This window comes from Homo sapiens, chromosome 12 (assembly GCF_000001405.40).
Source record: "Homo sapiens chromosome 12, GRCh38.p14 Primary Assembly".
Classification (NCBI taxonomy): Eukaryota; Metazoa; Chordata; class Mammalia; order Primates; family Hominidae; genus Homo; species Homo sapiens.
In genome coordinates, this window is record NC_000012.12 from 8,510,328 (window position 1) to 8,531,928 (window position 21,601).

At 37.7% G+C, this 21,601-nt stretch overlaps 1 protein-coding gene and 1 pseudogene across 4 annotated transcripts; one reads left to right on the forward strand and one right to left on the reverse strand.

Moving 5' to 3' along the window:
• Positions 1 to 1,744: 1,744 nt before the first annotated feature.
• SUPT4H1P2 (SPT4 homolog, DSIF elongation factor subunit pseudogene 2) lies at positions 1,745 to 2,462 on the reverse strand (annotated as a pseudogene).
• Positions 3,176 to 21,369, forward strand: CLEC4D (C-type lectin domain family 4 member D). 4 transcript variants are annotated; one of them, XM_011520632.3, is made up of 7 exons: positions 3,176 to 3,252; positions 3,332 to 3,433; positions 4,909 to 5,001; positions 7,837 to 7,947; positions 8,682 to 8,833; positions 9,899 to 10,014; positions 10,797 to 12,039. In XM_011520632.3, the coding sequence occupies exons 2-7, from the start codon at positions 3,406 to 3,408 to the stop codon at positions 10,942 to 10,944; spliced, it is 648 nt and encodes a 215-aa protein (XP_011518934.1). In that variant the 5' UTR covers positions 3,176 to 3,252; positions 3,332 to 3,405; the 3' UTR covers positions 10,945 to 12,039. The 4 variants fall into 4 exon arrangements, with proteins under 4 accessions (XP_011518934.1, XP_047284728.1, XP_047284727.1 ...); XM_047428772.1 differs by lacking the exons at positions 9,899 to 10,014; positions 10,797 to 12,039 and adding exons at positions 18,799 to 18,959; positions 21,130 to 21,369 and having other exon boundaries at positions 3,176 to 3,433; XM_047428771.1 differs by lacking the exons at positions 9,899 to 10,014; positions 10,797 to 12,039 and adding exons at positions 18,799 to 18,931; positions 21,130 to 21,369 and having other exon boundaries at positions 3,176 to 3,433.
• Positions 21,370 to 21,601: the final 232 nt, after the last annotated feature.

Consider the following 21,601-nt stretch of genomic DNA (forward strand, 5'->3'; position numbering starts at 1 on the left):
GACTGGCGGTGCCGGAAAATATATGGATTGCCAAATCTATAATTTTACCTCCTCCCATCCCCAATTTAACATAGTAAAGTAATATTTCACTGAAGATCACAGAATATATATACACACATATCATTAAAGTAATATTGTAGCTTAGGGAAGAGTTCAGGGAAAGGGCTATATTCTGGAAATTGTAGAGATCTTTCTTAAAGGATCTCTAAGCTGTTATGTACTTGTCTTAGTGAGCTTGGGCCACTATAACAGAATACCATAGACCGGTGGTATGAAAGAGAGACATTTATTTCTCACCGTTCTAATAGCTGGAAGTCTCAGATCAGAGTGCCAGCATGGCAGAAGTGTGGGTCCCTAGGGACTGTCACTCATCATTTCCCCATTGTGGGGAGCCTCCCTTGGCTCCATGGCAATCCTGGATGGGCAGCTGCTCTGTGTCGCTCTTCTTTGCTCTCTGTAGGTTATGTGGCTTCTGTGATGAATCCCAAAGTGTCCTCCTTCAGGTCATGTAAATTTGTTCTTGGAGTCCTGTCAAATTAACCACTTTACCAGTGAGGGCTTTCTACTAGCCTTGCAGATGACTGCCTTCTGGAGAACTCATCTCTCTTTTTTTTTCCTCTCTCTCTCTTTTTTTAAATTTTTTTTTAAATTTTTTTATTATACTTTAAGTTCTAGGGTACATGTGCACAACGTGCAGGTTTGTTACATATGTATACATGTGACATGTTGGTGTGCTGCACCCATTAACTCCTCATTCTCCCAGTGCTATCTCTCCTCCCTCCCCCCACCCCACAACAGGCCCCGGTGTGTGATGTTCCCCTTCCTGTGTCCAAGTGTTCTCACTGTTCAATTCCCACCTATGAGTGAGAACATGTGGTGTTTGGTTTTCTGTCCTTGTGATAGTTTGCTGAGAATGATGGTTTCCAGCTTCATCCATGTCCCTACAAAGGACATGAACTCATCATTTTTTATGGCTGCATAATTTTCACATAGCTTCGTTTCTACAATCACAACATTCCTGAGGTAAACAGGCAAGGTGTAATCATTCTTTTTTTACAGAGGGAGAACAAGGAACTTAGGGAAATCAAAATGGGGACACTAACAGGATTTCTGTGGAAATTTAAGTAAATGAGAATTTGTAGTAAATTTTTTATCCTAAAACAAATAACTCACTTTGGCCGAAAAATGGGATGTTACCCAAGGTCCCCTACTGGGCCGGCGGAGAAAAGGACCTGCCTCCTACAGGGGCACAAACAAGGCAGACTAGGACCCAGCAGTCGGCCAAGGCCCAAGGGTCTCCAGTAAGGAAAATGTAAAATGTGAGTGTGTGAGACTGGCCTAAGATATAGGAAGAGCAGTAAAGAGAAGAAAACTGACGAGCAGAGGGGGAAAAGAATTATTAAACATGGTCAAGGAGCAAGGAGCACGACAAAGCCTCAGGATTTCTTCAAGGGATACTGCTGTGCCAGGTCTCAAGGGCAGAAGGATACAAGCACAAGACACCAGGGCCACCAAGCTGATGGGGTTACTGAGCCTCTGGACAGCACCTTCTGATAGGAAGCAAGGAAGCACACTACAAAGGCTGCAATCCTGGAGGCTGAGACAGTCAAGAGGGAGTGGAAGGGCCTCTGCTGCTCTGGGAAGGTATCTTATAGGGCAAATAAGCTCTTACTGTGTGCCTAAGAGAAAGGAAGAGGGAAGCGAGGCAGGTGTCATGGCCTTAAGAACTTTCTAGAGGTTTCTATTTATTGACATTTGACCTAGACCTCTTCATGAGCAAGGCGCAGCCTTGGGCTACAGGTAGGAAAGTCAGCATCCTACTCTCTCCTCAATTCCATCTGTTAATCCACCAACCCAAATCCCTCCCACCCCCACCTGAAGTCCAAATAAGGTAAAATGATAAAATGATGTGCTGTTCTCTCAACAGTTGGCTGAGTCTGAATTGGAGGGTAGGAAGCATTTGAAGCTCTGCCCATTTAGTTCCAGAACAAAAAATAAGCAGAGGCAGGAGGTGGAGAGCAAAGACGCTGGCAGCCCTGCGTCTGGTCTTTATAGCTGTGTCTTTGGATTTGTAGGCCACTCCTCAACTTTTCAGCTCCCGCACGATTCCTTAGGGCAAGCGACCAGTGGTTGACACCGCATATACACCTGGCTTAAAGTTATTGACTCGCTGCCAGTTGGAGACCCAGCTGTCCTCTGGACTCATCATCGCAATGATTCCATCAAAGGAGGAGCTGGTGCAGCCATATAGCATCTCTCAGTTACCCTTCATCTGTAGATATGCATCTCAATAGTCACAACCATCATATTCAAACTGGTCTATAGTACCTTGACCAGTGAACACAGCAAACAGGCCCACAGATGCCACAGGTCCTTCAGCACCGTCTCCAGGGCCATCTTCTCCAATGAGAAGAGCAACAGCAAGGAAGATGGCCACAGCCTGAGCACCCGCAGGAAGTAAACAGCTCGTTAGCCGGGTCTCTTCTTATAATTCCATCATGAGGACCCCATTCTCATGACCTCATATTAAACCTAATTACCTCCCAAACTTTTGACCTCCAAATGCCATTACGTTGGAGGGTAGTGCTTCCACCAATGAATTTTGAGGAGATACAGACATTCACTCCCTAACAGTGCTATAAATGAAGTCAGGGACCCTGATGGTGTCTTTATCACAGAATCTTACATTTTCTTTGTCTTTGCCTTAACACAACTCTTTTTGCTCACCTAGAAAGTTCTTGGGATTTAATTAACTGCTCTATCATCTCTTCCTCAACTCGAAAACAAAGGTTGCTGTGTCTTCACATGCCATGTACACACAAGGTATACTTTAAAAGTTTTTGTTCATTGTTCACATTGTCTTTTGCTCTCTTAGACTCAACTTTTTATTCAGTCCAGAGAACTTTTTAGTATAGAACTCACCCCAAGAATATAACTGCCTTTGAAAATATAATATTCACAAAAAGAATTTAAAAAGAGGGGACATTTACTAAATTTTTATTGGGCATAACAATTATTTCTTTTAGGGCGTTGCTAAATTTTTTGTCTAAATGAAAAAAAAAACAAATTGAGAAATTCCACATTTCACACTGATCTAGTGATCTCAACATACTTGTGGGTTTCTACTAACTGTTGTTTGGTATTGCTTTCTCAATTTCCTTTTTTTTTTTTTTTCGCCTCATCTCCCGGAATGTATCAAAGGAAACCCCTGTCTTTGAAAAAGACTTCTTTTGAGCTAACTTTCTTATACTGGTACCTTTCTAATCTCACTACAATATGTAACATTGGTGTTCGATCTCAAGTATTTCTGAATATATTCCCCTATCCACAGAAATATACTCTGGGGGAAAAAAAATAGAACAAATTCTTGCCGTCCTGACCATTGAACAAGAGACTAATTAGACAATGGGGCTAGAAAAACCTCAAAGTAAACGTGAGTACTTTCTCTCCTTTCCATTTCAAAGAAGCAGATGGAATTATACTAATTTAAAACATATGAATTGATGGTAGTTTTAAAGATTGTTGATGATGACGGGGAGAAGGAGGTGGAAGGAAATAAAAATGACGTTGGTGAAGAGGAAGGACATAGAGTCAAATAAGTTGGATAACAGAAACTTCTTTATAAAATGTATATTGGACCAAGAGGGGAGATAAAATATATAAAAGAGAAATAAGATGAAAAGAAAGAGAGTAATATGAGAAGATTCTTTTAAAGAAAAAAGAGAAAAGGAAGATGTAGAAAAAGCATTTAGGCTTATGCTGTATCAGAGGCTCTAACTGTCCCATTTTATGTTTGACTTAAGTGACACCAGTGGATTTGTATTGTGATAATATTAAATAATATTTTTGATAGATATATAGAACAAGTGTGGAAATGTTTAAATTAAAATTAAAGTTTTACTTTATCTCATCACCCTACCATGGCAAACTGTAATCACAGTGTGATCCTATTGAATTACCTTTTTAGGTAACAATATTTCTTAGAGATTTTTTGCATCAATATATACTGATTACATGCTTATTTAATTACTATACAGAATATCATTGTGTGAAGGGACCATAATTTAGAATTTCCACTATTGATAATATACATGTAAATATTAGATTACAGTATGTGTTTTCTATTTTGAGAAGTACTGCAATGAATATCTTTTAACATAAACAAGCTCAATTATTTCTATAGAATAGACACCTGTAATTGAAATTATTGTGGCAAATGAAATGCATTTAAAAATGGATAAATGCCACTAAATTGATCCTTCTAAAAGGCATTCCTAATTTTCCAGTCCAGGCAGCAGCATTTATTTTCTCACTAAGAGTGCTTATTTCCCCTCAGCCTTGCCAACACTGCATGTACTTAATTTACTTAAAAAATCTGATGTGTGAAAAGTTATACCACAATCTTTTCGTTTACAGTTCCCTGATTGGGCATATTTTTGTTTGATTAGTGGCTATTTATAACTTCAGCAAATTAAAATTTCAGCAAATTTCCTGCTCAGAGTTTTGCTCAGTTTTCTAGTTGATTTTGAAATACTTTATCCAGTGCGGATATTAATATTATGAGAAGACTTTCCTTTCATACGTTCCTTGACTCTAACATTGCTTGTGTTATATAGAAGTTTTAATTTTTATGTACTCAAATTATCTATTCTAATGGCTCTTGGGTTTTGTATCTTACTTATAAAATTCTTTTCATTTCAAAATTACCAAGAAATTTTACATTTTTCTTTCTTATTTATTTATTCATCAATAAGCTCTAAAATTGATTTATTTGGAGAAAATATTTATGCTCTTCTCTAGATCTGAAATATTTGGTTTGCTGTCACTTTTAGATTGCTCCTTGGTAGAATTAGCTTTCCTAGCTTGTAGCTGAGAGGAGGTTAATCTCTATTTTTCTTTTGGTCCTAGTGGAAGGAGGCATGCATCCCCAGCTGATACCTTCGGTTATTGCTGTAGTTTTCATCTTACTTCTCAGTGTCTGTTTTATTGCAAGTTGTTTGGGTAAGTTATTAGCCAAAGTAGAACTCTTCTTGAATTATTATTTCCAAACAACTTTTCTGAAGTTGCTCTAAGCCTTTTGGTATCTTGATTTTTCCTAGCATAACCTATCTATAATATCTTCAGGGTCTTGCACTGAATATTCAGAGCTACATTCTTGACCTTCTGTCTTTCAATGGTGGTACCTTGTGATAGAGATTGATTGATGGAATTTAGACCATTTTCTGTACATGTAAAAGTTGGTTACTATAGCAAATTTCCCCCCATTTTGGACTGGGATCACAAAGGGATACATCTTATGAGAAAAGAGTAAGCAGAAGAAAAATAACTTTCAGATAGACTGGCTTTGAAAAGAACAAGGTTGGAAGAATTGTTCTCTCTCTCTCTTTCCCTCTCTTTCTTTCTTTTTTCCTTTCTTTCAACCTCTTTATTGATGTACGATTGACATATGAAAACCTGTACATATTTAATGTATACATCTCAATTTGGGGGATTAGTATACACCCTTGAAACCATCACCACCATTAAAAAAATTCTTTCTGATATCAAACATAAAATAATTATAATTAAAGTAATATGATATAGGTGCAAGACAAATAGACTAGAGGAAAATAAAGGAGAGCTTGGTTACAGATCCTGCATGTATATAAGACTCTTTATATAAAACAAAAGAAGATATCTCAGACATATGGGAAAAGGACAATTTTGTTCAATTAATGTTGCAGAGCCCATTGATTATTTATATTTAAAAGATGAAATTGGTCTCCTGCATCACACTGTATACAAAAACAAATCTAGAGCAGATTATTGTCCAAAATGTGAAAAGTAAATCAATAAAGTTTTAAGAAGATAAATGGAGAATATCCTCATGACCTGGAGGTAGAGAACGATTTCTTAAACAAGCCACAAAATGCACTAGAAAATAAACATTGACAAATTATACTACATTAAAATGAGTTACTGTACAACAAAACATACCAGTAACAGTGAAAATAAAAAGCCATAGGAGAAGATACTTGTAATGCATATAATTAATAAATAATTCACATGTAGATTATATACAAATTTTTTCAAACCAGTAGGAAAAATACTTACAATAAAAAAACTGGGCAAAGTCTTAAATAGGTACTAAAACAAAGAGAAAAATGAAATGTCTAATAAACACACAAAAGTGCCAGCCTCATTAATTAATTATCAGGGAAATGCAAATGCAACTCACAGTGAGACACCTTTGCAAACATAACAGGATGGCAACAATAAAAAGTCTGGCACTACTAAATATTGATGATGCCATGGAGCAAATGGACCTCTAGTGAATTGCTTCTGGTGGAGTTTAAGCATTACAGTCACTCTGGAAAAGTTTACCGCTATCATAGTTTACAATATTCGTACGCTATTGCCTGCAGTTCCACTCCTACGTATGTGCCCTACAGAAACGCATGCTTATGTGCTCCAAATGCATGGTTGAAAATGCTCAGAAGAGCATAGTTCACAGTAGCCAAACACTGGAAACAAGGCACACATCTAATAGGAGTAGAATAGATAAATATATTTTGTTTCAGGAAGACAATAGTTCACTTTACAGCAATGACAATGGATGAATTATAGCGGGCACGTAACAAAATAGACAAATTTCAGAAACAATTCTCAACAAAAGACAGAATCAGAATACATACTGTGTGATTGCCGTTCAAAAACAGGCAAATCTGATCTATAGGGACATGTTAGTAAGTGACAAAATTGTGAAGCAAAGCACAGCGGTTACTTTAAAAGCCAAGAGTGGTTACCTGTAAAGGAGAGTGGTTACCTATAAAGGCGAGGGAGTGAGCTGCCTTTGAGATGTGAAGGCTATCTGGGGTTTTGGCAATATTCTGTTTCTTGAGCTGAGTAGTTGTTACCTGGAGTGTTCACCTTACAATAATTTGCTAAACTGTTTTCCACTTTTTTACATTTGTTTATTTTTTATTATTTATTTATATTTATTTTATTATACTTTAAGTTTTAGGGTACATGTGCACAACGTGCAGGTTAGTTACATATGCATACATGTGCCATGTTGGTGTGCTGCACCCAGTAACTCATCAGTTAACATTAGGCATATCTCCAAATGCTATCCCTCCCCCCTCCCCCCACCCCACAACAGGCCCCGGTGTGTGCTGTCCAGGAAGGGTACATTTGTTTATATATTTCAAGGTGAAAGTATTTTAGAAATGCATAAGGTTCATACAACCCAGCGCGCACCAAAAACCCCTATTCTAACACAAATTTTGATAGAAAAACATGCTTGCAAGCATGTGCACATAAAAGTTTGCAAAACTTCTCCCGTAAAGAACAAAACGGGCCGGACGCGGTGGCTCACGCCTGTAATCCCAGCACTTTGGGAGGCCGAGGCAGGCGGATCTCGAGGTCAGGAGATCAAGACCATCCTGGCTAACAAGGTGAAACCCCGTCTCTACTAAAAACAGAAAAAATTAGCCGGACGTGGTGGCGGGCGCCTGTAGTCCCAGCTACTCGGGAGGCTGAGGCAGGAGAATGATGTGAACCCGGGAGGCGGAGCTTGCAGTGAGCCGAAATCGCGCCACTGCACTCCAGCCTGGGTGACAGAGCGAGACTCCGTCTCAGAAAAAAAAAGGACAATATGATAATAAAAATATTAATTTTCAACAATTGCTTTCAACCAATTCACCTGGAGCTGAAACAAACAAGCTGCATAGAAAGAAAAGAGAATATGAGGGCCTTAATTATTAGGATAAGAGAAAATTTAGGAAGGTCAGCCCCTATTTCCCTAATTAGTGGTTATATAGAAAAAGAAACCTAACTTGCTTTTATCCTTGACAGTGACTCATCACAACTTTTCACGCTGTAAGAGAGGCACAGGAGTGCACAAGTTAGAGCACCATGCAAAGCTCAAATGCATCAAAGAGAAATCAGAACTGAAAAGTGCTGAAGGTACAGAGTGTAAGATAATTTCTTTTTTAATTTCCATTTTCGTTCAAATTCATAGTCTGACTGAAGGAATGTCAGTAGTGAACCAGGAAAGATTAAAATAGCATAAGATGAGAATCTGGCATCGGAGTAAATAAGAATACCTTAAGATAGAATTATTTCTCATTACTGTAATCCAGTTAATAACCGGAGAATATAGCTTTACAGATGGATGGGTTATTTTTGACATCCAAAACATAACATTAATCAGATTCAATTTTCCCTTGATTCAGACATATGATAAAGACAGTTTCCTCCTAGAATATACAGCTTTGCTGACATGTCTTTATTTCTTTTATTATTGTGGAATTTGTCATCTCATTTGGGAGAATGGGGCAGTGCTTAAGTTTTAGTAGGTTCTTTACCCACTTTAGGTAAAATATCCTGCAAAAGCTTCGTAATGGAAACACTTTAAATGTGCAAGTCAACAGATGTAGGAACAATGAATAACAGTCATGCCTTCTAAGGCAATATTTTGTGATTTTCTCGTAGTCATTATGTGGTGTCCAGTACTTATGTTTAGAAGATATTTAGGAATGTAATTTTCAGGATCTTTTGGTAGGAGAACAGAATAATTTTGGTGATCTTGATATTATTCTCACAAATATTAATTGGATATAGGTAGTAGAATAGTTATGCAATCTGTTACAGATGAAATGCTCTTTTGTTACCAATTTCCGTTTTAATTTTCACTTGAGGGAGCACCTGGAACTGTTGTCCTATTGACTGGAGAGCCTTCCAGTCCAACTGCTATTTTCCTCTTACTGACAACAAGACGTGGGCTGAGAGTGAAAGGAACTGTTCAGGGATGGGGGCCCATCTGATGACCATCAGCACGGAAGCTGAGCAGGTGTGTTGGGAGGATCACATCAGTTTCTCTGCTGCTTTGAATCTCTTTCCAGAAAAAGAGGAATTTCTCTGTCCTGTTATGCCTCTGTCTGTTTTCATCTGCTCCATCTGCCTGGAAAGCCCTTTCTTCCTCTTCAACTTTTTGTCATATGGCCAACTTCTTTTGGTCTTTCTATATTTGATTCATATGTTATTTCCTCCAGAAAGCTACCCTAACTACCTTCCTCATTCTACCCCTCCCTGTTCTAAGTGGGAAGTACTTCTGTAGGACTTTGTGCACAACGAGATCATGGCATTTACTTCACTCCACTATAATTGTCTGTTCACTGCTCCATCTCTTCCAGTGACTTTTACTACGTGGAGGGCTGGATCCATGCTCTACTCACCTTTGCGCTTCCAATGTCCCGTGCAGTGTGAGGCACACTGGATAGGTCTTGATAAATGTTTGGTTAGTAGGTGAATAAATGAATGGTTAATCAGGACTGAACTAGCTTCTCAGGATAAAGTACAGGAAAACTAATTCAGATGTATGGATCTAATGATAAGTAAAGAAATCTTAGGGTAAATTCTTTAAAGGCTAAAATTTATTTCCTCATGTAATATGTTTCCATTTATGTACCATGACTCAGATTCTAACTTTTTCTTGGTTAATAGTTTCCTCAAGGATTTTGTCTCCATAGGTTTACAATGTATAGGTTCGGTAATTCTGAATAAAATGGAATTTAATGAAATATGCACGCAATTAAAGAAGATATTAAAAACAAAACCTCCTAAAAAATCTAATCTTATTAAGCATTGTGCTAAAAGGGTTGCAAGTCTGACCTCACTTAATCTTCCTAGTAACTCTATAAAGTAGTGGAGTTGTCCCTTTTGAAGACAAGAGCACTGGGGGTTTGGTAAGATTGAAGCACTTACTAACATTACAGGCAGGATTTGAAAACAGATCTATCTGATGCCAGAGCTTTTGTGCTTAACCAGTAATCTAGTTGACATATTTCCTCTTTTTCCAACATCATAGCCATCACCTGATTCATGCAACTATATTAAAATTTACATTTTTATGCAGAACTTTATTATTCAGTTTCTGGATAGACGGCTTTCCTATTTCCTTGGACTTAGAGATGAGAATGCCAAAGGTCAGTGGCGTTGGGTGGACCAGACGCCATTTAACCCACGCAGAGTGTAAGTATATTGAGTGGGCTAAGGGGATTTATAAGCAAAGGTTAGAAGATGGTAGCAAGAAACATTCATTTTGAAGTGGAGTACATTGATATAAAAATGTTAAGAGAGACCACTGTAGGTTGAGTAATCTCCATATGCTATGTCCCAGTTCCAGAATGGTCCTATAATTTGCATGCAATTTTCAGTATTCTTATTTGCACAATGTCAATAATGAAAGAATGAATAGCATAGAAGTGATATAAAATTTGTTTTAGGCTTGACATTTAAATAAACAATATAAGCGATAAAAATTTTCTTTGAAAGAGAATCAAAATCTTGTCATTTTCTTTCTTGAAGCCAGTATCGTTTAGTAAAAATATAATGCAAAGCCACATGTGCAATTTAAAATTTTTTGTTAGTTATATTAAGAAAGTAAAAAGAAGCAAGTGAAATGTATTTTAATAACGTATTAATAATGTATTTAACCCAATATATCCAAATCTTATCATTTCAACATGTGATCATTATAAAATTATTACTGAGGTCTTTGACATTCTTCATTGGCACTAAGTCTTCAAAATACAGCACTTAAGACTTAAAGCACATTTCAATTCAGAGAAGCCACATTTCAAGTGCTCAGTAGCTACATGTGTCTAGTGAGTATAGTATTAGTGCAGTTCTAAACTGTTCACTAGGGACATTTCTCTGAATTGTCTCCTAATATATCTATATCTAATCTACACCTATAATCTACATTGTCTATATATACCTATAAATCTCTATCTATGTTGTTGTTCTTTCAGATTCTGGCATAAGAATGAACCCGACAACTCTCAGGGAGAAAACTGTGTTGTTCTTGTTTATAACCAAGATAAATGGGCCTGGAATGATGTTCCTTGTAACTTTGAAGCAAGTAGGATTTGTAAAATACCTGGAACAACATTGAACTAGAAACTCAGAAAGTGGTCCTTGTGATGGAAAGAGAAAAGAAAAACCAATTAGAATAAGGCAGAATGTACGTGCGTCATTGGAACACAGAAAACATGCTGGTTCATACAGCGTTTTTAGTCATAATGGTCTTTTTTATTTTGTTTGATTCATTCGAGACAACATGTGTGTATGTGTGTGTGTGTGTGTGTAGATAATGTGGTTTTTGTATGGTGTTTGATGGAAGGAATAATCTTTCTTTGCTTTCTTAGTAGTATTTCAAGGTGTTTACTTTTCAATTGGTGTGCACTGAATGCATGTATGGAAGAATAGCGTGAATAATGCAATCTCTTTGTCATTTTTCCCCTTCTCAGACTCTTAGCTCTTAAAATTCAAAGATGGGATATTCTAACTGGTAGTGGTGCATCATTTTTAACCCAAATATTGCAAGCACTTTAAAGATTTGAAACCACATTTTTATTGTTTGATGTTTCATTTTCAGACTTTTTAATGTCAGTCATTACAATTACATTGCATGAGGAAAATTTTTCCAGAACAACAGTGTGGAATAGTTCTGAATTATGCTGTTCTACAGATAGAAAAAAAGTCCAAATGCCTTTAAAAATTTACTTCTTACTCCACCCAACACGTTTTTGCAAAGCAAGAAGTCTTTGTAAGACACCTTAAACAAAGTCCTTCAATTCTACAGCAGAGGAAATAAAATCCCCCAGAAGCCAAAGGGCTCACCTTCACATTGTTAGTTCATGACAGACCCAGGTGTGCTTCATTAGAGATAACATACATTCCCTTTGGTATCACAGGAAGTTACTGGGGATTACTCGACCTCATTACTTAGCTAACGACTGGATAAAATTTCTTAATTGTTTGAAGTAACATTGTATTCGTGTTTGCATTATTAATTTGAATAGAAAATAATCACATTTTCAACCCATTTATACAAATTGTTAATGTTTCTTTAGAGCTGTATAACTATAGTTTGAACTAGCAAGGAAGTTATTGTTTTGACAACCAGAAATTATGCTTTTCTGGTGCATGAAACATTAATTGCAAAGGGCAGTCACATCCAACTTTAATAAAATATGGTGGTCTTTCTTAAAATTTTCAATTTGCTAATTTTTCCTGGATCTAAGCTGAAAAATTCCAAGCAACAGCTTTTTAACCTAACTTTCCTACTACTGCTTTTAAAAGCAGTATTTATTTTGTAAATTAGCTACTGATTTTTTGGGTTTGAAATACTGGTGTTTGATTGTGTGGTGGTGGTGGTGGTGATGGATGCGTGTAGCTGTGTTAAAAGCTGATACTTTTAGCTGAAATGGTGCTAAATAAATTTGACTGTGTTTGCCATATTCACTAAATTATGTAGCATGAAACCTATGAAACTTGTTGAAGTAACTTTATGTAAATGCTAGTGGGCTTCGTATAGTTAATATTATCCATTTTTAATTTGTAAAGAACTATATATAGGTTGAGCTTCAGTTGTCAATAAGTCATGAAGTTTTGCCCATGCCTGTGTCCTGAATGGTATTACCTAGGTTTTCTTCTAGGGTTTTTACGGTTTTGGGTTTTACATTTAAGTCTTTAATCCATCTTGAGTTAATTTTTGTATAAGGTGTAAGGAAAGAGCCCAGTTTCAGTTTTCTGCATATGGCTAGCCAGTTTTCCCAGAACCATTTACTGAATAGGAGATCCTTTCCCCATTGCTTGTTTTTGCCAGACTTGTTGAATATCAGATGGTTGTAGATGTATGGTGTTATTGCTGAAGTCTCTGTTGTGCTTCATTGGTCTATATGTCTGTTTTGGGACCAGTACCATACTGTTTTGGTTACTGTAGCCTTATAGTATAGTTTGAAGTCAGGTAGCATGATGCCCCCAGCTTTGTTCTTTTTGCTTAGGATTGTCTTGGCTATACAAGCTCTTCTTTGACTCTATATGAAATTTAAAATAGTTTTTTCTAATTCTGTGAAGAATATCAACAGTAGTTTGATGGGAATAGCATTGAATCTATAAATTGCTCTGGGCAGTATGACCATTTTCACAATATTGATTCTTCCTATCCATGAAGATGGAATGTTTTTCCATTTGTTTGTGTCCTGTCTTATTTCTTTGAGCAGTGGTTTGTAGTTTTCCTTGAAGAGGTCCTTCACATCCCTTGTTAGCTGTATTCCTAGGTATTCTATTCTCATTGTAGCAATGGTGAATGGGAGTTCATTTATAATTTGGCTCTCTGCTTGCCTATTGTTGGTGTAAAGGAATGCTTACGATTTTTTCACATTGATTTTGTATCCTGAGACTTTGGTGAAGTTGCTTATCAGTTCAAGAAGTTTTTGGGCTGAGATGATGGGGTTTTCTAAATATAAAATAATGTTGTCTGCAAACAGAGACAACTTGACTTCCTCTCTTACTATTTGAATATGCTTTATTTCTTTCTCTTGACTGATTGCCCTGGCCAGAACTTTCAGTACTATGTTGAATAGGAGTGGTGAGAGAGGACATCCTTGTCTTGTACCAGTTTTCAAAGAAAATTCTTCCAGCTTTTGCCCATTCAATATGATATATTGGCTGTGCGTTCGTCATAAATAGCTCTTATTATTTGAGATACGTTCCATCAATACTTAGTTTATTGAGAGTTTTTAACATGAAAGGATGTTTAATTTCATCAAAGGCCTTTTCTGCGTCTATTGAGATAACCATGTGGTTTTTGTCTTTGGTTCTGTTTATGTGATGGATTATGTTTATTGATTTGCGTATGTTGAACCAACCTTGCATCCCAGGGATGAAGCTGACTTGATTGTGGTGGGCAAGTTTTTGATGTGCTGCTGGATTCAGTTTGCCAGTATTTTATTGAGGATTTTCGCATCAATGTTCATCAGGGATATTGGCCTGAAGTTTTTTTTTTGGTTGTGTCTCTTCCCAGTTTTGGTATCAGGATGATGCTGGCTTCATAAAATGAGTTAGGGAGGAGTCCCTCCTTTTCAATTGTTTGGAATAGTTTCAGAAGGAATGGTACCAGTTCTTCTTTGTATTTCTGGTAGAATTCAGCTGTAAATCCATCTGGTCCTTGGCTTTTTTTTTTTGTTTGGTAGTCTATTAATTGCTGCCTCTATTTCAGAGCTCGTAATTGTCTATTCAGGGATTCAACTTCTTCCTGGTTTAGTCCCGGTAGGGTGTATGCATCCAGGAATTTATCCATTTCTTGTAGATTTTCTAGTTTATTTGCTTAGAGGTATTTATAGTATTCTCTGATGGGGGTTTGTATTTCTGTGGGATCAGTGGTGATATCCCCTTTATCATTTTTTACTGTGTCTGTTTGATTCTTCTCTCTCTTCTTTATTAGTCTAGCTAGTCGTCTATCTACTTTGTTAATTTTTTCAAAAAACCAGCTCCAGGATTCACTGATTTTTTGGAGGGTTTTTCATGTCTCTATTCTCCTTCGGCTCTTCTCTGATCTTAGTTATTTCTTGTCTTCTGCTAGCTTTTGGATTAGTTTGCTATTGCTTCTTTAGTCCTTTTAATTGTGATGTTACAGTGTCAATTTGAGCTCTTTCCAGCTTTCTGATGTGGGCATTTAGTGCTATAAATTTCCCTCTTAATACTGCTTTAGCTGTGTCCCAGAGATTCTGGTACATTGTATCTTTGTTCTCATTGGTTTCCAAGAACTTCTTGATTTCTGCCTTAATTTCGTTATTTACTCAGCTGCCATTCAGGAGCAGTTTGTTCAATTTTCTTGAAATTGTGTGTTTTTGAGTGATTTTCTTAATCTTGAATTCTAATTTGATTGCAGTGTGATCTGAGAGACTGTTTTTTATGATTTCAGTTCTTTCGCATTTGCTGAGAAGTGCTTTACTTCCAATTATGAGGTCAATTTTAGAATAAGTGCCATGTGACACTGAGAAGAATGTATATTCTGCTGATTTGGGGTAGAGAGTTCTGTAGACATCTACTAGGTCCACTTGATCCAGAGCTGAGTTCAAGTTCTGAATATCCTTGTTAATTTTCTGTCTTGTTGATCTGTTTAATATTGACAGTGGGGTGTTAAAGTCTCCCACTATTATTATGTGGGAGTCTAAGTCTCTTTGTAGGTCTCTAAGGACTTGCTTTATGAATCTGGGTGCTCCTGTATTGGGTGCATATACATTTAGAGTAGTTATCTCTTGTTGAATCGTTTTGTTTACCGTTATGTAATGCCATTCTTTGTCTTTTTTAACCTTTAGTCTGTTTTGTCAGAGACTAAGATTGCAACTCCTACTTTTTCGTTTCTTTCCATTTGCTTGGTAAATTTTCCTCCATCCCTTTATTTTGAGCCTTTGTGTGTCTTTGCATGTAAGATGGGTCGCCTGAATACAGCACACCGATGGGTCTTGAGTCCTTATCCAATTTGCCAGTCTGTGTCTTTTAATTGGGGTATTTGCCCATTTACGTTTAAGGTTAGTATTGTTATGTGTGAATTTGATCCCATCATCATGATGCTATTTGGTTTTTTTGCACTTTAGTTGATGCAGTTTCTTCATAGTGTCATTGGTCTTTATATTTTGGTCTGTTTTTGCAGTGGCTGGTACCAGTTTTTACTTTCCATATTTAGTGATTCTTTCAGAAGCTCTTGCAAGGCAGGCCTGGCGGTAACGAAATCCCTCAGCATTTGCTTGTCTGGAAAGGATTTTATTTCTCCTTTGCTTATGAAGCTTAGTTTGACTGGATATGAAATTCCAGGTTGAAAATTCTTTTATTTAAGAATGTTGAATATTGGCCCCCAATCTCTTCTGGCTGGTACAGTTTCTGCTGAGAGGTCTGCTGTTAATCTGATAGGCTTCTTTTTGTAGGTACCTGGCCTTTCTCTCTGGCTGCCTTTAACAGTTTTTCCTTCATTTTGACATTGGAGAATCTGATGATTATGTGTCTTGGAGTTGATCTTCTTGTGGAGTACCTTAATGGTGTTCTCTGTATTTTGTGAATTTGCATGTTGGCCTGTGTTGCTAGGTTGGGGAAGTTGTCTTTGATAATATCCTGAAGTGTGTTTTCCAGCTTGTTTCCATTCTTCCTGTCTATTTCTGGTACCCCAGTCAATCATAGGTTTGGTTTTTTTATGAAGTCCCATATTTCTTGGAGGATTTGTTTATTCCTTTTCATTCTTTTTTCTCTATTCTTGTCTGCATGTCTTATTTCAGTAAAGTGGCCTTCTAACTCTGATATCCTTTCTTCCACTTGGTCAATTTGGCTGTTGATACTTTATACTTCATGAAGTTTTCATGCTGTGTTTTTCAGCTCCATCAGGTCATTTATCTTCCTCTCTAAACTGGTTATTCTAATTAGCAATTCATCTAACCGTTTATCAAGGTTCTTAGCTTCTTTGCATTGGGTTAGAACATGCTCCTTTAGCTCATCATAGTTTTTTATTATCCATCTTCTATAGATTACTTCTATCAATTCATCCATCTGATCCTCTGTCCAGTTCTGCACTCTTGATGGAGAGATGCTGTGATCATTTGGAGGAGAAGAGGCACTCTTGTCTTTTGGGTTTTCAGCATTTTTTCAATGATTCTTTTTCATCTTTGTGAGTTTGTCTAGTTTCAGTCTTTGAGGCTGCTGACCCTTAGATGGGGCTTTTGTGGGGGCCCTTTTGTTGTTGTTGTTGATGCTGTTGTTGTCACTTTCTGGTTTTTTTTCTTTCAATGGTCAGGTCCCTCTTCTGTAGGGCTGCTGCAGTTTGCTGGGGGTTCACTTCAGGCTCTGTTAATCCAATTCACTCCCGTGCTTGCAGATGTCACTCAAGGAGGCTGGAGAGCAGCAAAGACGGGTGCCTGCTCCTTTTTCTGGGACCTCTGACCTTCAGGAGCACCAACCTGATGCTAGTAGGATCACTCCTGTATAGGGTGTCTGACAACCCCTGTTGAAGGGTCTCACCCAGTTGGGTGGCACAGGGAGTAGGACCTGATTAATGAAGCCCTTTGTCCCTTGGTGGAGAGGGTGTGTTTTGCTGGGGTTAAACCCACTCATCTGGGCTGCCCGGATTCCTCAGAACTACCAGGAGGAGAGGCTAAGTCTGCTGATCTGCAGAGACTGTAGCCACCCCTCTCCCTAGGGGCCCAGGCCCACGGAGAACCAAATTCTGTCCCCGAGCCTCTGGCTGGAGTTTTTGGAGATCCTGCAGGGAAGCCCTGCCCCCTGAGGAAGGCTGTGTCAAGGTTAGGCCTGAAGAGGCACTCTGGCCGCAGACTGCCACAGCCAGTGTGTTGGGCTGTGGGGACAAATCTTGGGACCAAGCTCTCCAGCCTCCCTGGCTCCGCAGGGGAAAAGCACAGCCTGAAGCTACAGAAATGGGTGCTTCCCTTCCGCCGCCCAGGGAGCTTTGCATGTTAAGCAGCTGTGAGTCCCAGTGCTGGCTACTGCCCCTCCCTCAAAGAGCGCAAACGGCTTAGACAGCAGGCAGCCACAGCCAGTGCTGGTCGCCCTCCGCCCGCGCTCCCCCACCCCCAGGAGTTCAGTAGGCCTTGGCACATTCCAGCTGAGAGCCGGTGAGAGTCGCGCGTTCCAGGGTTGGGATGCTAGGCCCCGGTGGCGTGCGTTTGTGAGTGGGATCTTCCAATCCGTAAGTTACACAGTTCCGTGGAAAAAGCACAGTTTCCCTGGCTGGGTAGTGTGCTCACCGACTGCCTCCCTTGGCTCGGGGGAGGGGGTTCCCTTTCCCCCATGTGGCTCTCAGGTGGGCCGCTGCACCGCTCTGCTCTTTCTTCTCTCCGTGGGTCACACCAGCCTTCCAGTCAATTATGATGAGACAGCCTGGGTATCTTGGTTGCGGGTGAAGGATCCACTCACTTATTGCGGTTTTTTTCCGTGGGAGCCTCAAAACACCACTGACTGAGAGGTGGGGCATTTAAGAAGCAATCAGATAATGAGGGTTCTATCCTCATGAATGAATTAACTCCCAGTTATAGAATAGTGGATTAATGGGTTGATGTATTAATGGGTTATCATAGGCAGAAAACTGGTGGCATTATAAAAAGAGGAAGAGGGACCTGAGCTAGCATGTTAGCACACGCAGCACCCTCACTGTGTGATCCCTGTACCACCTTGAGGCTCTTTAGAGAGTCCCTACCAGCAAGAAGGCCCTCACCAGACACAGCTTTTTGACCTTGGACTTCTCAGCCTCCATCACTATAAGAAATAAATTTCTTTTCTTTATAAATTTCTAGTCTCAGATATCCTGTTATAAGCAGCAGAAAATGAACTAATACACATCCATAGTCTCTTTTAGTCTATTCTGAACTCTCATGGCACCTCATCACAATCTCTTCAAGACAAAGACAGTAATTTCATAAAAATAGGTTCTAATTATTTTAGTACATTATGGTAGTCCTAGAAGCTTAAAATTCTTAAAAATTTCAAGCAGTGTTTTCATTTTTGAAACAGTAATATATGTGTGTTAAAAAGGCAAACTGTAAAAACATTAGTAAACGTAGAAGATAAATAAATCTTCTAACCTGAACTCTAGTTACTGAAATGCCTCTTCAGAGTAACTATGATTATCAGTTTCTTATTTACATTTCCATAAATGGTTATACTATATGTACTACATATAAAGTGTATAAGAATATATACTATATATAAACTATGTACTATACATAATAAACATATAATTACATACATGTTATATACTAAACATATATAGATATATAATCCACATTTTAAATATGAATAGAAATATAATCTACATATTCTTAAACATTTGCATTTTTTACTTAACAATATAGTTTTGATTTATATCTTGTTCTTATAAGTGAATAGCATTTATATTGCATTGTTGCAACATAATTTGAAATAACCTTAAAATTACAAAATATTTTCTTTTTTAATAACACTTAGCAAAGTAATGGCTGTGAAGCAAATCACCAGAGCAATCTCCGTTCAGATTGGGAAAGGAAGGAAATTTTCCAAGGAAGATTTTTTTCCCTACAAAATTATGGGATAGATGGAATGCATTTGAATGAATTGAGAGGTGATATACATTTCTGAAGAGTTAAAAGGTGAATTATGTCAGTACGCAGAAAGCTAGATAAATATAAAAAAATGGGTCCTGTATGGTGGCTCAAGCTTGTAATCCCAGCACTTTGGGAGGCCAAGGTGGGAGGATTACTTGAGGCCAGCAGTTTGAGACCAGCCTGGGCAACAAAGTGAGACCCTGTCTCTACAAAAAATTAAAAAATTAGCTGTGTTTGGTGGTGTGCACCTGTAGTCCTAACTACTTGGGAAGCCGATATGGGAGGATTGCTTGAGCCCAGGAAGTCGAGGCTCCAATGAAGCCATGATTGTGCCACTGTACCCTGGCCTGGGGACGGAGTGAGATCCTGTCTCCAAAAAAAGAAAAGATGTCAATATTAACTCCATAAAAAGCAAAATGTAATTAAAAATATGTAGTAAGAATACAGCAAATGGTTCAGCTGTGAATAATATTTACATATTCATACCAGTGCAAATGTTGAATACTGATTTTTAAATAAATGATTATATAGTGATAGCAGGGGGATGGGAAAGAGAGAGAGAAAGAAGACTATTCTTGTTTTCATTAGTGTGGAGCTCATAGAAATTATCTAAAACTGAAAAAAATCAAGGAATTATAGTATAAACTTTTGATAGAAATAGAAACATGGAACTCAATAGAAAAGAAGCATCTAAACGGTTGAATACGATTGCCACTTAGGTGTGGGAATCAGAAGTGGGCAGGAAACAGCTATTTTTAATTACAATCCTCTAGAAGAATTTGTTTTTTTAAACAATGTGCATATATGTACATAGTGTGCAAATCTATTAATGTAATTAATCTTATCAACATTTTAAAAGAGCTGCTAAAGCATCATCTAGTAAAATCAATAAACCACTTAGTGTTAAAACATTTAACAAAGAAGAAATGAAAGGAATTTTCTGCAGGATGTCTACCCCAAACCTGTAGCAACTATTAGATTTAATGGTAAGCCATTAGAAGCATTTTCTTTAAGTTTAAGAACAAAACTATAGCAGCTTTATGCAACAATATGTTGGCATTCCTAGCCAGCTCAATATGACCAAAAGAACTGGAAGGGAGTTTTAAAAACCCACAACTATCATTATTTCTAGACCAGAACTGTCCCAGGGAAATATAGTGAAAGGCAAAAATGTGAGTTGCATATGTCTAAATTTTCCAGTAATTATATCAAGAAAGCAAAAAAAAAAAAAAAAGCCCGAAGAAGTGAAATTAATTCTAATAACTTATTTTATTTGAACAAACATATCTAGAATATTATCATTTTGACATGTAATCCATATAAAATTCTTAGTGACATATTTTATATTCTTTTTTCAAATTATCAAAAAAACTAGTGTGTATTTTACACTTACAGAATATCTCAATTAGGATAGTGCTTAATAGTCTACTGTGGCTGGTGGCTACTGTACTGGATAGCTCAGTGTTTTAGACAGTATAATTATCTACACAGAAAATAAAAGGGAATGTATGGACAAAATGTTTTAAAAAATTAGGAAAGTTAAACAGTGTTTCTGGATAAATTATTATTATACAAAAATCAACAATATAATACTCTGCAAAATGTACAAAATAATATTACACTTACAATGGCAATACAATTCTAAGATACCCAAGAGTAAACCGTGCGAAATTTTAAAGTTGGTTGCACGACATATATGCTGACCCGCTCAGGCTCTACCTCTCCATCCTGTGCTGAATGACCTGTGTGGACATCCACCTCACCCTGCCCGGTGCCCTGTGGCCCTCCTAGATAGTCCTCCTGCTTCGGCTCAGACACCTTTGCTCAACCACCCCCACGTATGGGCGTCCTCCTCACTCTAGCTCAGGCTTTGAGACTTTGGGACAGTCCAACCCCCACCAGGATGCCCTGCTGAACCCACTGGCGTTCTGACATCCTTACTGTCTCCTGCTTCCCCCACAATCTCCCCTTTACACTGTCTGGGATCTAACTCTCTGAGGGGTAGTCATGCGTCCCTCTCCCCCTCCCGCATATACATGCACACACGTATAAAGACCACCTTGCTCTGCTCCACCCACGTGCAATGATTTTAGGAGTCATTATCAGGAAACGGAAAGGTAGAAAAGGGGATTGGGAAACAGGAGAGCAAAAACATTTGACTTAATTGTTGATTGTTTATAATTTTTTGTTTGTTTTGTTTTGTTTTTTACTTCAGAGGGACCTTCTGGGAAATAACTCTTTTTCATAATCTATAAAGGCTGTAACATTCTTGAACTCAGTAATTCTTCAATTTCACTTCAATTTTTTAAACGTTTGAGGTAATGAATGTGCTAATTACCCTGATTTGATTAATATAGAGCATACACATGTATTGAAACATCGCATTGTATCCCACAAATGTGTACAATTATTATGTGTCAATCAAAACCAAAATAAAATTTAAAAAATTAAAGTATTATCTGTTGTATAATTCCTTTCTAAAAGTGTGTCAATGCATGTGTGTATGTGTGTATACATGTAAATATATATATATATTTGGGTTTTTTTAACTCTTTGTTTTTCCATCTTTTCATCTAACTCTTGAAGTCATAGGGGAGAAAAAGTAACATCTTTTTCTCACCAATTGCAAGGTTCATGGCTGAGGCCCTTATAACAAAACACAAATTAACAAGAGAAAACCATACAGA

Coding starts and splice junctions, on each gene's coding strand:
- CLEC4D (NM_080387.5), top strand. CDS start 3,406: ATGGGGCTAGAAAAACCTCAAAGTAAAC. Junction 3,434..4,908: donor AGAAAAACCTCAAAGTAAAC/GTGAGTACTTTC, acceptor TTTTGGTCCTAG/TGGAAGGAGGCATGCATCCC. Junction 7,948..8,681: donor AGAACTGAAAAGTGCTGAAG/GTACAGAGTGTA, acceptor TTTTCACTTGAG/GGAGCACCTGGAACTGTTGT.